Source organism: Homo sapiens, chromosome X (genome assembly GCF_000001405.40).
Source record: "Homo sapiens chromosome X, GRCh38.p14 Primary Assembly".
Lineage (NCBI taxonomy): Eukaryota > Metazoa > Chordata > Mammalia > Primates > Hominidae > Homo > Homo sapiens.
In genome coordinates this window covers 101,496,496-101,512,291 of record NC_000023.11, presented here as the reverse complement: position 1 = coordinate 101,512,291, position 15,796 = coordinate 101,496,496, and the positions used below count along the sequence as shown (strand labels likewise).

The 15,796-nt window shown below is 39.6% G+C and overlaps 1 protein-coding gene across 5 annotated transcripts in view; it reads right to left on the bottom strand.

The window, feature by feature from the left end:
* ARMCX4 (armadillo repeat containing X-linked 4) overlaps nt 1–15,796 on the bottom strand; it is a 117,711-nt gene that overhangs the window by 23,697 nt on the left and 78,218 nt on the right. For 3 of the 5 annotated variants that reach the window (NR_045864.2, NR_045862.2, NR_045861.2), the window contains 5 exons: nt 12,926–14,147; nt 6,937–7,355; nt 2,865–2,928; nt 2,614–2,702; nt 1,237–1,267 (listed from right to left, as the gene is read on the bottom strand). The gene's annotated coding sequence lies outside the window, so the exon portion shown is untranslated. Of the gene's footprint in view, nt 1–1,236; nt 1,268–2,613; nt 2,703–2,864; nt 2,934–6,936; nt 7,356–12,925; nt 14,148–15,796 lie in introns of all 5 variants that reach the window. The other 2 variants (NR_028407.3, NR_045863.2) reach the window with 1 other exon arrangement.

Here is a 15,796-nt window from a genome sequence, read left to right as displayed (position 1 = left end):
TCAAGCCATTCTCCTGCCTCAGCCTGAGATTACAGGCGCCTGCCACCACACCAGGCTAATTTTTGTATTTTTAGTAGAGATGAGGTTTCGCCATGCTGGCCAGGCTGGTCTCAAACTCCTGACCTCAAGTGATCCATCCACCTCAGCCTCCCGAAGTGCTGGGATTACAGGCGTGAGCGGCCGCACCCAGCCCATTAGTTGAAATTTTTAATAAGGGGCAGTTAGACCCCAAGATCTTCTCCTCCAGCCCCTATACTAGGTGAGTTCTCTCAGAAAACAGATGGTTTACTTTCTGGAGAAGTTAAACCAGAAAAGGTCTGAACTTATGAGTGCAGCTAAGGTGGGTATAATAAGTTGTACTAAAAAAAAAAAGGAATAATTAAGTGAGAGTTTGCATATTGAAAGGTGAGACATTCTCCCCACTCAAGGTCCTTTCCCTCGCTCAGCCTCCTGAGCACTGTCAACTGTGCTTATAAGCCCAAGGAAGGAGATTGGAGGATTCCTCTCCATGTAAACTAATTAGCCTAATAAAAAGTACCTACAGAGGTTGAGGTGGGAGGGTCACTTGAGCCCAAGATTTCAAAGTTACAGCAAACTATGATCACGCCACTACACTCCAGTGTGGGCAACAGAATGCTCAGAAAAAAAAAAAGTATCTATGAAAACTGGCATTTGTGTGTGCCACAATGATATAACTGGATCCCTCCTAACCCTATGGAGGGGCTCATTCTTAAAGATAAATATATGTTTGTTAGAGGACTAACATTGTTTTGGTGAGACCAAGACAAAAGGCCATAAAAAGGAAGCTGAGAGTAAAATAGACAATACATGAAACAGAAGAAAGCCATAAAAATCTATAATATCCATAAATAGATAAGAATATATAATATCCATGAGACACGTGCAGAATTCTATTTTAAAAGAAACAATCAGAGGTCAGGAAAAGCTCCATGTATCAATAGAAGATCAAAAGAGTAGGGGAAAAAATCCCCAAATGTAGAACACAATAAGAAAGAGATTTTTTAAAATAGGAAAAAGATAATAAAATTATCATATGGGAGGTAAAACAGAAATAGTACAAGTTCCATAACGAAAGAACAGAAAAATGGTAAGAAGAAACAATCAAAGTGCTAATACAAGAAATCAAAAAATCATTAAAGAACTAATGCAAAATATGTGTCACTAGATTGAAACAGCCCATTAAGTTCCTATCAAAATGAATAAAAATAGACTTACTTAATATCATGATTTTTCTTTTCATAGCAACCTACAAAATTAAAAAATCATATTATTGATAAGTTTCAAAATATTAAGGATGAAAAGAAGAACCTAAACATTTTCAGAGAGGAAAAAAATGTCATGTATAATGGACAAGAAATAGAAGAGCATTAGGCTTCTCAAACCACACACAACTAAACGATTTCAGAAGGATAATTTCAAAATTCTAAGGCATGAACTCCCAATAAAATATTTGGGGATGAACTTAGCATTAGACTTTATTTCTTCCTAAAAATCCCATTAAAATTACAGTAAAGATATTTAAAGGTACAATAAAAAAAGAAAAGGATAGGAGACAACAGTAACACAATTTTAGAAGCTGGAGTACAGATGGGCACATTGCAATCAACTTATTAGATTTGAGATAGCTGCATCCTATCCCTAAAGTAGAGAAAGGTGAGAAGTAATATAACTTACATCACATAACCCCCAACCTCAGAGAATAGTATTCTGTAATAAGCAAGGGTGAAAATAAGACCAAAAATAGGAGGCTTGGTTAAATGTTTCAAAAACAGACCCTCACCCTTCCACTCCAAGTACCTCAGTGACTATCACTCCCCGACCCTGGCAGAAGACTGGAGATTATTTACTGAAGCAATGTTTGTCATTGGAGTGACTGGAAATAATCAAAATATTCATTGGAAGAGAGCTTTCTAAATAAAATTGGTACATTCACACAAAGGGAGATTATGCAGCTGTAAAATGTGAGTAAATTATGTACTCATGTGGAAAGACTTCCGTGATATATTGTTAAGTAAAACAAGCAAATAAACAACCTAAAAAAAGCAAAGTGCAGGACAGCAAGTGTGTGAATATATGCGTATATATATTCTATATTTCATCATTTATAAAAGGGGTAAAATAAGAATATTTACATTTATGTTTCCTTACATATGCAAGATGAAATCCTGGAAGTATGAAAAAGAAACTAATAACAATAGTTATCTGTTTTCGGAAAAGGGGAACTGAGTGGAAGAAGAATGTTGGTTGGAGGAAGGTTTTTCACTGCATTTTTTATTATTAATTTGAACCATGTGAATGTATTACCTAGTGAAAAAGTAAATATATAAAAAAGAACTGGAGTAACATCTGACTTCTCAACAGCAACACTGGAAGCTAAAATACAATGAAACAATGTCCTCAAAATTCTTAGAGAATTTCCAGTTCAAAATTCCATCTCCAGCCAAGCTATCAATCAAGTATTGGAGTAGAAAAATGACATTTTCAAGATAACCTGTCAATGTAGTAGGAAAACAGGAGGGGACAGTAACAGAAAAGCACAGGGGAAAAGATGGCAAGTTTAGTTAAAATAGAAAAGTGCTCAGTGTCTCATACCTGTAATCCCAGCACTTTGGGGGGCCAAGGCAAGTGGATCACTTGAGCCCAGGAGTTCAAGGCCATCCTGGGCAATGTGGCAAAACCATCTACAAAAAAATACAAAAAGAGGAAGAAATGATATTTCACAAATTTGTATCATTTGTCATGATGTGATTCTTGAATATATTAAATATTTTTCCTTTAATACTGTATGCTGTTTGCTTACATAAAATTTTTTGATTAAAAAAAAAGAAAAATGACTTTCAAACCTGAAAGATCTCAGAAGTGTGCTTTGCATATACACTTTCTCAGGAAGCTACTGGAAGATATGTTCTGTTCTGCCAAAAGAGAGCATAAACCAAGAAAGAGGGAGATGTGAGATCCAGGAAACAGTGAATCTAACACAATAGTGAGCAAGGAAAGTCACCAAGATTATTGTGAAAAGAAATCCCAAAATAAAAGTTGTGTTGCATGCCTAGAGTGCAACCAGTCTAGTTTAAAGCAGGTCCAAAGATTCCCAAGAGAAACTTTGTCCAGAAAATGAAATTGTTGGAATACCTAATTTATTTAAACATAATGGAAGAATATTTACATAATTGGGAGTATATTTTGGAAATAAATTGGTGATAAATACATAGAAAAAGAGAGGGGGGAAGAAATTAAATCTAGAGAAAATAAAAAGTTGTGCAGGACAGGAAAAAATAATCCTAATATACTATGTAACTCAACTGTCAATAACAAGTACATAGTCAACATAATACTGTCAATATAACTAAAATAAGAATAAAGCAATTGAGAGGGCAGGGTATAAGAAATGTAGAAATGTATGATTACAATAAGCAGGGGTGAGTATAAAAGAAGAGCTAAACTCATCTCCCATAGTGGGAAGTCAGTGACTTAAAACTCAAAAATCAAGAAACAATATAAGTATGTTATTTTGACATAGGTAGATAATACCAAAATAATACATTAAAAGAGTTGAAATTTATTGCTTCTGGGTGTAGAAAATAGTGTTGCGATACAAGGATATTGCTGTTTTTCATAGTAAGCTGTTATATACTGAATCATGTCCCCCAAAATTTATATATTGAAGCCCTAAACCCTTAATGTGACTGTACTCAGAGATAGAGCCTTTAAGGAGGTAATTATGGTTAAATTGGGTACTAAGAATAGAGCCCTAATCTGATAGGATTGGTGTCCTTATAAGAAGAGACAACAAAGATCTCTCTCTATCTCCACGCCCACACAGAGAAAAGGCCATGTGACGACACAACAAGAAGGTGGCCATATACGAGCCAGGAAGAGAGGCTACACCAGAAACTAATGCTGACTGCGTCTTGATCTTGGAATTCTAGCCTGCATAACTATGAGAAAATAAATTTTTGTTGTTTAATCCACCCAACCTGTGGAATTTTGTTATGGAAGCTCAAGAGGACTAATACATTAGCCTTGTATGATTATACTCATGCATTGCTTAACAATGAAGATACGTTCTGAGAAATGCATTGTTCGGTGATACAGTCATTGTGTGAACATTACAGAGTATATTTACACAAACCTAGATGATATAGCCTACTACCTACCTGGGCTATATGGTATAAACTATTGCTTCTAGGCTATAGACCTGAACAGCGTGTTACTGTACTGAATACTGTTAGCAATTGTTACACAATGGTATTTACATATCTAAACATTTAAACATAGAAAAGGTAATGTGTTGTGCTGCGACATTACAATGGCTACGACATCACTAGCTGATAGGAATTTTTCAGCTTCATTATAATCTTATGGGACCACCATTGTATATGCTGTCCATCATTGATGTTGTTATGCAGTGCATGACTGTATTGGATTTTTAAACTATATGCATATACAGCTTTGATTTGAAAAGTAAATTTTTAAAATTCTGAGGGAAATGACCTAAACCTAGAATTTTATATCCAATAATTACCAGTCAAGTGTAAGGGTAGAATACAGGCATTTTCAGACAGGCAAAATCTCAAGGTATTTATATACTATACACTCTTTCTCATAAACCTAGATTTACTTTGTCAAAATGAGGTCATAAATCAAGAAAGATTAAGCCATAGGATGTAGGGAAAGCAAGATCCAACATGAAAAAGAGACTAAGAAAATTCCACTATGATGACAAGGGAGTTTCTAGGACAATAGCTGTACATTAGGCCTGAAGGGTAATCTTCCAAAATGGAGCAGGAATACAGAAGGATCCATGAACTCTAGGGAAAAAATTTATATAATGGACAACAATAATATATAATAGATGCCAATTACTATGTACCAAGTATGACTCTGAGTGCTTAATCTTTTAATCCTCATAGAAATCTTATGAGATATGCCATTTCCCATTTTAAATATGGGGAAAGTGAGACAGAGAGTGGAAGAGATTTGTTCAAGATCATGTAGCTATTACATGACAAATTCAGGATTTGAAGCCAGGCTGTCTAGTGGCAGAGTCCATGCACTTACCTGCCTCTCCTTCTAATGTCTCAATTGTGAAAAATCCTTACATAGACATAATGTAAACACTGAATATTGATTGAACATAATATAGTGATACAACAACAACAATATATTGGGAGAATATGGGAGAAGTATGGTTGTGTATAGGATGGGAGGTATAAGACAACTGAATCCTTCCACTGTAGGAAGTCCCAGCTGATACATAAAATTTAAAAATCAAGAAATAAAATAGTTAATAAAAAATATAAAGGCAATATCAGAAGAAATAGTTAAGAGAATTGTAAGTAATCTGGAATTAAAAGTAATTTTAAAAGGAAATTGAAATTAATTTGGAAGCAGAAATCTGGGGTGGGGAAGGATGAAGGAAGGTTCTGTAGGATTTCTGTAATTGTTATGGTACCCTATAACTATGAAAATTACATTTTAAAAACCAGGTTCTGAAATTGAACATAGAGTACTCCAATTCTGTGTAAAGAACTGGAAGCTTGAGAACCATTATGGACTGAATGGTTGTGTCCCCGCAAAATTCACATGTTAAAGCCCTAACTTTCAATGTGGCTGTATTTGGAAATAGGACCTCTAAGGAAGTAATTGAGGTTAAATGAAATCATAAGGGTGGGGTTCTGATTTTGTAGGATTAGTATCCTTATAAGAAGAGACATCAGAAAGTGTCTCTCTCTCTCTTTCTCTCTCTCTCTCAACGCACCAAGGAAAGGCCACATGAGGACACAGTGAGAAAGCAGCCATTGACAAGCCATGAAAAAAGCCCTTACCAGAAACTTTTGGCATTTTGATCTTGGACTCCTTAGCCTCCAGCAAATAAGTTTCTGCTGTTTGTGAGCCACCCAGTCTGTGGTATTTTGTTGTAGCGGCCCAAGTAGACTAATAGAAGAATATTATGCTAAGTCACAAAAGGACAAATCATATATGGTTCCACTAAAATGAGGCACCTTGAGTAGTTAAATTCATAGAAATAGAAAGTAGAATAGCACTTTGCAGGGGCTGAGGGAGCAGTGGGAGGAGTTACTGTTTAATGGGTAAACATTTCAGTTTGGGAGATGAAAACAGTTCTGGGCGGGGCGTGGTGGCTCTCACCTGTAATCCCAGCACTTTGGGAGGCCAAGGTGGGTGGATCACCTGAGGTCAGGAGTTCGAGACCAGCCTGGCCAATATGGTGAAACCCCGTCTCTATGAAAAATACAAAAAATTAGCCGGGAGTGATGACAGGTGCCTGTAATCCCAGCTACTTGGGAGGCTGAGGCAGTAGAATCGCTTGAACCCAGGAGGTGGGGGTTGCAGTGAGCCATGATTGTGCCATTGCACTTCAGCCTGGGCAATAAGAGCGAAAATCCATCTCAAAAAATAAAAGAAAAGGAAACAGTTCTGGAGATGAATGGTGGTAATGGTTGCACAACAATGTGAATGTATTTAATGTCACTGAACTGTACACCTAAAAATGGTGAAGATGGTAAATGTTATGTATATTTTATCACAATTTTTTAAAGAAAAAAGAAGGATGTACAAGGACATGCATGATAATACTGCTGGAAGGCTGTACCCTCGGTTTCAATTCTGCGCTATTCTCTGCCAAAGCCCCACATGTACTAGGCTTCCTCAGTGTTCTGTCCTCAGTTTTTCCATCTGTACTCTTCACTGAGGCTACCTGACTTACTCTTCTGTTATCATCTGTAATATGTATATTCAGCCCAGACATTTATTCTGAGCTCTAGACCCATACCTCTCAAATCAATACTGAGCTTCTCCACTTGGAAGTCCCACAGTGTCTTAGTTTGTTGTGTGTTGCTATAAGAGAATGCCTAAGACTTAGACATTTATAAAGAAACGTTTTATTTAACTCACAGTTTTGAGGGCTGGGAAGTTCAAGACTGGGCAGTCACATCCGACAACTTCTTTTGAGGGCATCAAAACATGGCAAAGAAACAAAAGGGGAAACAGGTACACGCAAAAGACACCAAGCACAAGAGGCAGACTCACTTTATAACAACCAACCTCCTCACAGTAACTAATCCAGTCCCATGAGCACAAGAACTCTCCCACTCCAAAGAGACTGCATTCATACCCTCATCAGGAGAGATTCCCCATGACACAAATGCCTCTTAAGGGTACCACCTCCCAACACTGTCACATTGGGAACCCATCCTCAACATGACTTTGGATGGGGATAAACCATATTCAAATCATAGTACATAAGCACTTCAAATTCGAAGAGTTCAAATCAGGATTAATCCTCTCCCTCTCCCAAATCTTCTCCTTTATGTCTGAAAAATAAAAGGGGAAGAGAAATGTTAATATCCCTCCCCATTCATTCCTCACTCCAGATTATATTCTTTCCCCTACACTAAACTGCCTCAAGGACCAATCAGTTCATATGATTTTCAGAAATGGACCTTTTTGCCCAAGAAGAAGGATTGCATTTTCACCTTTGAAAAGTGGTGTTATATGATTTCTTATATGTGCATGACCCAGCAAACCCACTGTACTCAAAATCTTAAACCAGCCTCTAAGCCCTAAGTCTACTACTACAACAACACTAGAGTAAGAATCTGGGGACCCGGGGCCAGAGTCAGACCCAGAACTGACTATAAGACCAGCTATCTCTCCAAAACATTTAGAAATGTTGTCCACTGCTACCCTAGCCTCATAACTAGGCAGGAGGGCTCTTAGGACTGAGCCAGAAGGCCCCCCTAAGTCCCATGTTTTGAAGGGTCTGGGGTCTAGAATCTCTCCCTCCTTCTCTCTCTCACACACACACACACACACAAACTTATTAAAGAACACTTGGGTAGGAAGAATCAATATCGTGAAAATGGCCATACTGCCCAAGGTAATTTATAGATTCAATGCCATCCCCATCAAGCTACCAATGACTTTCTTCACAGAATTGGGAAAAACTACTTTAAAGTTCATATGGAACCAAAAAAGAGCCCGCATTGCCAAGTCAATCCTAAGCCAAAAGAACAAAGCTGGAGGCATCAGGCTACCTGACTTCAAACTATACTACAAGGCTACAGTAACCAAAACAGCATGGTACTGGTACCAAAACAGAGATATAGACCAATGGAATAGAACAGAGCCCTCAGAAATAATGCCACATATCTACAACCATCTGATCTTTGACAAACATGACAAAAACAAGAAATGGGGAAAGGATTCCCTATTTAATAAATGGTGCTGGGAAAACTGGCTAGCCATATGTAGAAAGCTGAAACTGGATCCCTTCCTTACACCTTATACAAAAATTAATTCAAGATGGATTAAAGACTTAAATATTAGACCTAAAACCATAAAAACCCTAGAAGAAAACCTAGGCATTACCATTCAGGACATAGGCATGGGCAAGGACTTCATGTCTAAAACACCAAAAGCAATGGCAACAAAAGCCAAAATTGACAAATGGGATCTAATTCAACTAAAGAGCTTCTGCACAGCAAAAGAAACTACCATCAGAGTGAACAGGCAACCTACAGAATGGGAGAAAATTTTTGCAATCTACTCATCTGACAAAGGGCTAATATCCAGAATCTACAATGAACTCAAATAAATTTACAAGAAAAAAACAAACAGCCCCATCAAAAAGTGGGCGAAGGATATGAACAGACACTTCTCAAAAGAAGACATTTATGCAGGCAAAAGACACATGAAAAAATGCTCATCACCACTGGCCATCAGAGAAATGCAAATCAAAACCACAATGAGATACCATCTCACACCAGTTAGAATGGTGATCATTAAAAAGTAAGGAAACAACAGGTGCTGGAGAGGATGTAGAGAAATAGGAACACTTTTACACTGTTGGTGGGACTGTAAACTAGTTCAACCATTGTGGAAGTCAGTGTGGCGATTCCTCAGGGATCTAGAACTAGAAATACCATTTGACCCAGCAATCCCATTACTGCGTATATACCCAAAGGATTATAAATCATGCTGCTATAAAGACACATGCACATGTATGTTTATTGCAACACTATTCACAATAGCAAAGACTTGGAACCAACCCAAAAGTCCAACAATGATAGACTGGATTAAGAAAATGTGGCACATATACACCATGGAATACTATGCAGCCATAAAAAAGGATGAATTCATGTCCTTTATAGGGACATGGATGAAGCTGGAAACCATCATTCTCAGCATACTATCACAAGGACAAAAAACCAAACACTGCATGTTCTCACTCATAGGTGGGAATTGAACAATGAGAACACATGGACACAGGAAGGGGAACATCACACACCAGGGCCTGTTGTGGGGTGGGGGGAGGGGGGAGGGATAGCATTAGGAGTTATACCTAATGTTAAATGACGAGTTAATGGGTGCAGCACACCAGCATGGCACATGTATACATATGTAACTAACCTGCACATTGTGCACATGTACCCTAAAAGTATAATTAAAAAAAGAGAAAAAAAATTCCAAGGCAATAAATTAAGCAAATTGTCCTAAAGAAGAAGAAAAAAATAAAAATAAAAAAAAAATAAAGAACACTTGAATGCCTGTGTCACATAGGATCTGGTGTAAGGTCATAGCTATAGATAAGGAAAGGTACTAGTGCAACAGTGGTGGCTATCATAGAGGATCTGCTCTACCTGATTGTGCAACTGCTTATGCCCTCCAGTCCTGCTTGTGCTTGATCCCATATATAAAACTTCCATCTTGGCTGGACACAGTGGCTCATGCCTCTAATCCCAGCACTTTGGGAGACCAAGGCAGGAAAGGCCCTCAAGCCCAGGAGTTTGAGACCAGCCTGAGCAACATAGTGGAGCCTAAGCTCTACAAAAAAATTAAAAGATTAGCGAGGTATGATGGTGTGTGACTATATTCCTACTACTCAGGAGGCTGAGGTGGGAGGATACTTGAGCCAGGAGGTCAAGGCTGCAGTGAGCCATGATCGTGCCACTGCACTCCAGCCTGGGTGACAGAGCAAGACCCTGTCTCAAAAAGAGAAACAAAAAAGAAACTTCCATCTCATTGCCGGGGCTACTCAACCTTATACCTTGGTGGATCTGACAGAACTCAGCTCATGAAGCAGTTCTGGCTGCATGGCCACTAGATGTTCTATAGTCAGGCATTTCATCTCTACCAGGATGTAGTAGCATGTCAGGAGCTGTTCTTAAAAGGTATATAATTTTCCATTCATATGACATGGCTTTGCTCCACAACCCTAGCTAAGTTGCGATTTCCCCATAGGGGCTTCCCATAGGGCCTTTCCCATAGGGACTTCCAAAAACTCCACATGGCATCTTTTTCCAACACAGATACCTCTAATACTGAGATAGGACATCAGCAGGACTTGTTTTCCAAGCACTGGTAATGGCCCTGCTCATCAAAAACAGGATGCAGTAAAGACACCAGGAGATGATGAAAAAAGCAACCTCTGGTTGTCCTCACTGCTCATTATTAAAGACACTCCAACCAGTGCCATGACAGTTTACAAATGCCATGGCAATGTGCCATGGCAATGACCTAGAAGTTGCCTTATATGGTTCTAGGAACTTTCCACTCCTTTTCTAGAAAATTCCAAAAACCCATTCCTTCATTAGCATATAATTATGAGTGGGTATAAATATAGCTAGCCAGCAGAACTGCTGCTACTGCTCCCTCTGCTGCTCCAGAATGCTACTGTTGCTATATATTGCTGCTGCTGCTGCTGCTACTGCTGCTCCAGGCTGCTTTGCCTGTGGAGCAGCAACTTTGCTGCACACTGCTACTCAGGGCTCCTTTGCCTATGAGACAGCCCTGGTCTGTCCATGGAGCAGCCATTTTGCTATACACTATTGCTCTAATAAACTTGCCTTCTTTTACCGTCAGCTTGCTCTTGAATTCTTTCCTGAGTGAAGCCAAGAACCCTCCCGGGCTAAGCCCCACTTTTGGAGTTCACCTGAATCAGTACCATAAGGACTGTCTCTTGTATGCATCAAGTGGCAGGACTGCCTAAAAATGCATCCTGGACCTGCTATAGGGCCTTGTTCTGCTATAGTTCTCCTCAAAGCTGGCACTTTTTGTGTCACCCAGTATATGGGGTGAAACAGTAATTCCAGGTGTGAAATGTGATATTTCCAGAACCCAAAGAGGCCTACCAGGCAGTGCACTTCCAGAAAATTCTCTGTGAAGAAGGTAAAAAATACCTTAATTTGTCCTTCCCTTTGAGAGGATATTCTAGCATTCCCCAGGCCATTCAACCCCTAAAAATTATACTTAATGTGGCCAACCGCCTGGATCTTTGTAGGGTTCATCTCCCATTCTCCATAGTGCATGTGCCTTACTAAGGCCTCCAATGTGCTGGCCCCTTCCTACTTATTTTGGTCCAATTAGCATGATGTCACAGACATTGTGGACTAGTACTATATTCTGAAGGATGTTCGAGTGGTCCAGACCTCTTCAGACTATATTATGACAGAGGACATGATAGTTAGTAGAGCACTGAGGAAAAACTGTGTATGCATACTGTTATCCATTCTGTGTGAATATGAACTTTCCATTATGATACAGATAGGGAAAAAAACACATTTTCTAAATCAATAGCTAAAAACTAGGTACTTAAGGCCATGCTTTCTGCTGTAGCAAAGATATCATGTCTGGTATGCCATTGCAATTGTCTTACTACTTGGCTGAGTTTTCAGTAGTCTAGTGTCATCTAGGCTCTGTCCACATTTTGCAGGGGATTAAACTGGTGAATTAAACGAAGATATGATGGAGACCACACCTCTTCATTCTCTAGGTCTTCAAAGGCGGCAATAATTTCTGCCATCCTCCACTCCACAGATGCCATATGTTTTCATTTACTATCTTGGCCAGGGAAGGTGAGGGCAGTTTCAGAAGCTTCCACTTGGCCTTCTCATCTACAAATAGCTCTGACTCCACAGGCCAAAGAACTACTATAGGGCTTGTACCAACTAACCAACTATGTCTATTCCAATTATACATTCAGAGATCAAAAACATAACCACTGAGTGGGTCTGTGAACTCAGTGGGCCCACTGTGAACCCTACCTAGGCCAGGATCCCCCTTAATACTTGGCTCCCATGTGCCCCCATTCTAATAAGGGGGACAATTAAGACACTTTAGGTCTCTGGGTGTCAATATCAACTCAGAACCAGTGTCCATCTGTTCTCAAAATGTTCGAGTATTTCTCTTTCCTTGGTACACAGTTACCTGAGTAAATGGAAGGACCAGAGAAATCATTACTACACATGCGTTGTAGGGTCCTTCTTCCTGGGCACTCGGCCTTTCTTTCAAACCATGTATTGTGGATCAAAAGCTGACTTGAGACTAGAAGCTGGATAAGTAATTATGACTTTTTATTGAGGCAACCTCCCTCAAACCTGTGAACACCTTTCATTTCTTTTGATTGTATAGAGTGCAGATTGTTGGCTGCCTATTTCCCCCCAGGACATTATGTTGTATTGACTGTCCATGTCCTATTAACTGTCTCTTAACCATCTACCCACTAGGGGTACTGTGTTCTGTTAACCATCTCCATAGCTCTCTGCAGGTCAGGCCTCCCCACCTGCCACTCTGACCCTGCAGTGCATTGTGGTATTTACATCCGCCTAACTTCTGACAGTTAAGTGCAACTATCTTGCCTCTATTGTTTCAGAGGCATCATCATTTCTATCAGTGATCCTTGTTCCATAAGATCCTCTCCTACTCTGAGCCCTGGCATGCAAAAGAGATCCACTACTGAACTTCTCAGTGATGCTGATGTCCCTCTCACCAGAATATTTCTTATAGCTTTGGTAAATGGTTTGTCCTTTGGATCCTCCTGTAGAATATAATCTTCTGGAGGGTTTTCTGGCCTTACATAATAGGTTTATTATATAATTCTCACCTCTCTGAGTCTTTGATCCCTTTTCCCGCCATCTTCTATGGCAACTCTGGCATTTACACCTCACTTTATGTACGCCATGGCTTTTTCCATACTTCGAGGAGCCATCGCAGTAATGAGTTCGTGTCATTTCCTGTGGTTTTCTCCAGGGTATTAAATCCTGTATTCTGGGAAAGCACTTTCAAATTGATTAATTCTCCCATATTCCAGTTTATATTCCAGCCCTCCTGATCAAGCTCCTTAGAATTTGATGCCATACTTACTCCCTCAGCACCTTCTAGTATATGCTGGCTAGGTTATGTCCCGAAACTCTTTGTTGGTGTATTCTCTTTCTTTCCTTATTACACCCAGCACATCACCAGCTAGATTATGCGTGGCTTAACCCTAGTTATAGGCCCAGTGGCCAGGATAGGAGGTGCGGGCAGATTCTGAGGAAAACCCAGGTTATCTTACAGGGGAAAGGATTCCATATATTGAAGCAAGATGGAGTGCCAGCCCTTAATAGGGAGGAGTAGGACACTTCTCAAGGGGCTCAGGGGAATCTGGGGATATAAGATTTTTAGGGACATCAATCCAGATGTCCCCCATTCCAAGTGTCAGAGTCCCATTCCTTCTTAACCATGGCACATAACTCGGCATAGAAGACTTGTCTTGGTTAGAATTTTAACTTTCTTTGAAGCTTGCTTTTAACAAATCCTGAGTCTACTCCTCAGATTTCTCCACCTTCTACCTGGAAAAGATGAGAGCCTCTTTATATGTTATGAATAAAGCCATCTGACTTTCAAACATAGCTTTCAATTGTTGATTAATTTAATTCAGCTTTTTGTTATTCTTTTCCAGAGCTCAATCTGCTTAGCAACAGCCGCCCAATTTTCTGGCCTTCCTTATATTTAATATATCCCATATTTCTCAAAGGTCTGATACATGGCACCAGTTAATGTGTCCCATTTTACCAGTATGCCAACCCAGTTAACCACCATTGAAAATTTTAACAATTCCTCTGCTACCTTATTCCAGAGGCCTATCTACTCCACCTACCACCAATGATGGAGTCTTCATTGACAGCTGGGTAGCAGGTGATTCATCTCCAAAATTTCATCACAGTGTTTGCTTTCTCGAACCACTTCTTGTACCAACTGTTGCAGGTTGGCTTCCCAGGAAGCAGGCCCAGAGATAGAGTTCAGCATGAAGCGTTTTTACTAGGGAATGCTCTTGGGATCAACACCTGTGGAAGGGAAAAGAAGGAAGCAGGATTGGACAGAGGGAGGAGTTAAGCTGTCCCAATTTGGGGCAAGAAGGCCATATCCATCAGTAATTGGATGTGAAATACCCCCAGGTAGGGGGTGTAACCTTGGGGGAGGTGGCTTTCTTCAGCTGAGGAAATTCCTGAAGAGGGCTGACAGCTGAGGACTGTCTACTTGCCGCACTCCTGGCAATTAAAATAATAAGCTTTTCATTCCTGAAGGGGAATCAGGGCAGCAGATGGTAGAATCCACTACAAGTGTGACATTATTTTTTTACAGTAGAGTAAGTTGGTGGCCATCGAATGCTAGTATTGAGAATGGTTTTATTTTTTAAATACCTAATATGATTTAAATTTTAAAACACTTATTGCTTTACAAATAATATTTATTTAAAATTTTAAGTTATACTTTCCAAATATGTAGGCATAAATATGTGAGCCTCCATTTATACTTTTGCTCCAGGTCCCTCAAATACTACTGACCAGGCCTGCCTAATATGAATCCATCTTCTTCCTTGTTGGTAAATTATGCATAAAATTCCACTTCTTATATAAATATCATAAATAGAGATGAGTAAAAACAAATGAGGCCGGGCGTGGTGGCTCACGCCTGTAATCCCAGCACTTTGGGAGGCCGAGGCGGGCAGATCACCTGAGGTCAGGAGTTCAAGACCAGTCTGGCCAACATGGTGAAACCCCGTCTCTACTAAAAATACAAAAAAAAAAGCCAGGTGTGGTGGCAGGCGCCTGTAATCCCAGCTACTCGGGAGGCTGAGGCAGGAGAATCGCTTGAACCCAGGAGGCAGAGGTTGCAGTGAGCCCAGACCGTGCCATTGTACTCCAGCCTGGGCGACAGAGGGAGACTCCGTCTTAAAACAAAAAAAAAAAGAAAGAGAAAAAACAACAAATGAAATCACCCATCAGTCTAACACCCACAGAAAACTATTAATATTCTCAGAGTATGTAGCAAGATAATTTAGATATATACTTTTTCTTCATTAAATGTATGGCATGTGCTTTTACAGCCTATTTTTCCCACTTAAGATTATATGCTGAATTTCTAATGTAAGCACATGTAGATGTCCATCAACATTTTCAATAGCGGCATAATATTTAAATGTGTAGACATACATCAATTTGCTTAGCCAACTGCCTATCTTGAGATACTTGGGTCGTTTACAACTTTTCACCCTTCAAAACAGTTTGAAGATGCACAGCTTCCTACAAGCCAATTACGTGTTATTTCCTAAAGATACATTTCTACAAGTGGAATTACAGGGTCAAAGGATATGCATATATTCCAATGGACCTTGTACCAGTGTATACTCCCACCAGCAGTTTAAGAGTGCTCCTCCCCCGACACCCTCACCCTCACTATGGGGTGGGAGAGAGGTAGATCTTCTATGTGTATCCCAACAACACTCTCTATGGTTCCATAAAGGCCCCACCTTAACCAACCTTATAAAGGAAATCTGATACAAGCACTAAAACTTCTTTCTTCTAGTATACTTTCTTATTATTTCAAAGTTGTAACTGTTTACTTACATGGATACCAGAATTGGCAAAGAGGACACTTTTCTGTCAAATGCCCCAAGGACCCTAAAATAAAATTGGTCCTCTCTGTATGTCTC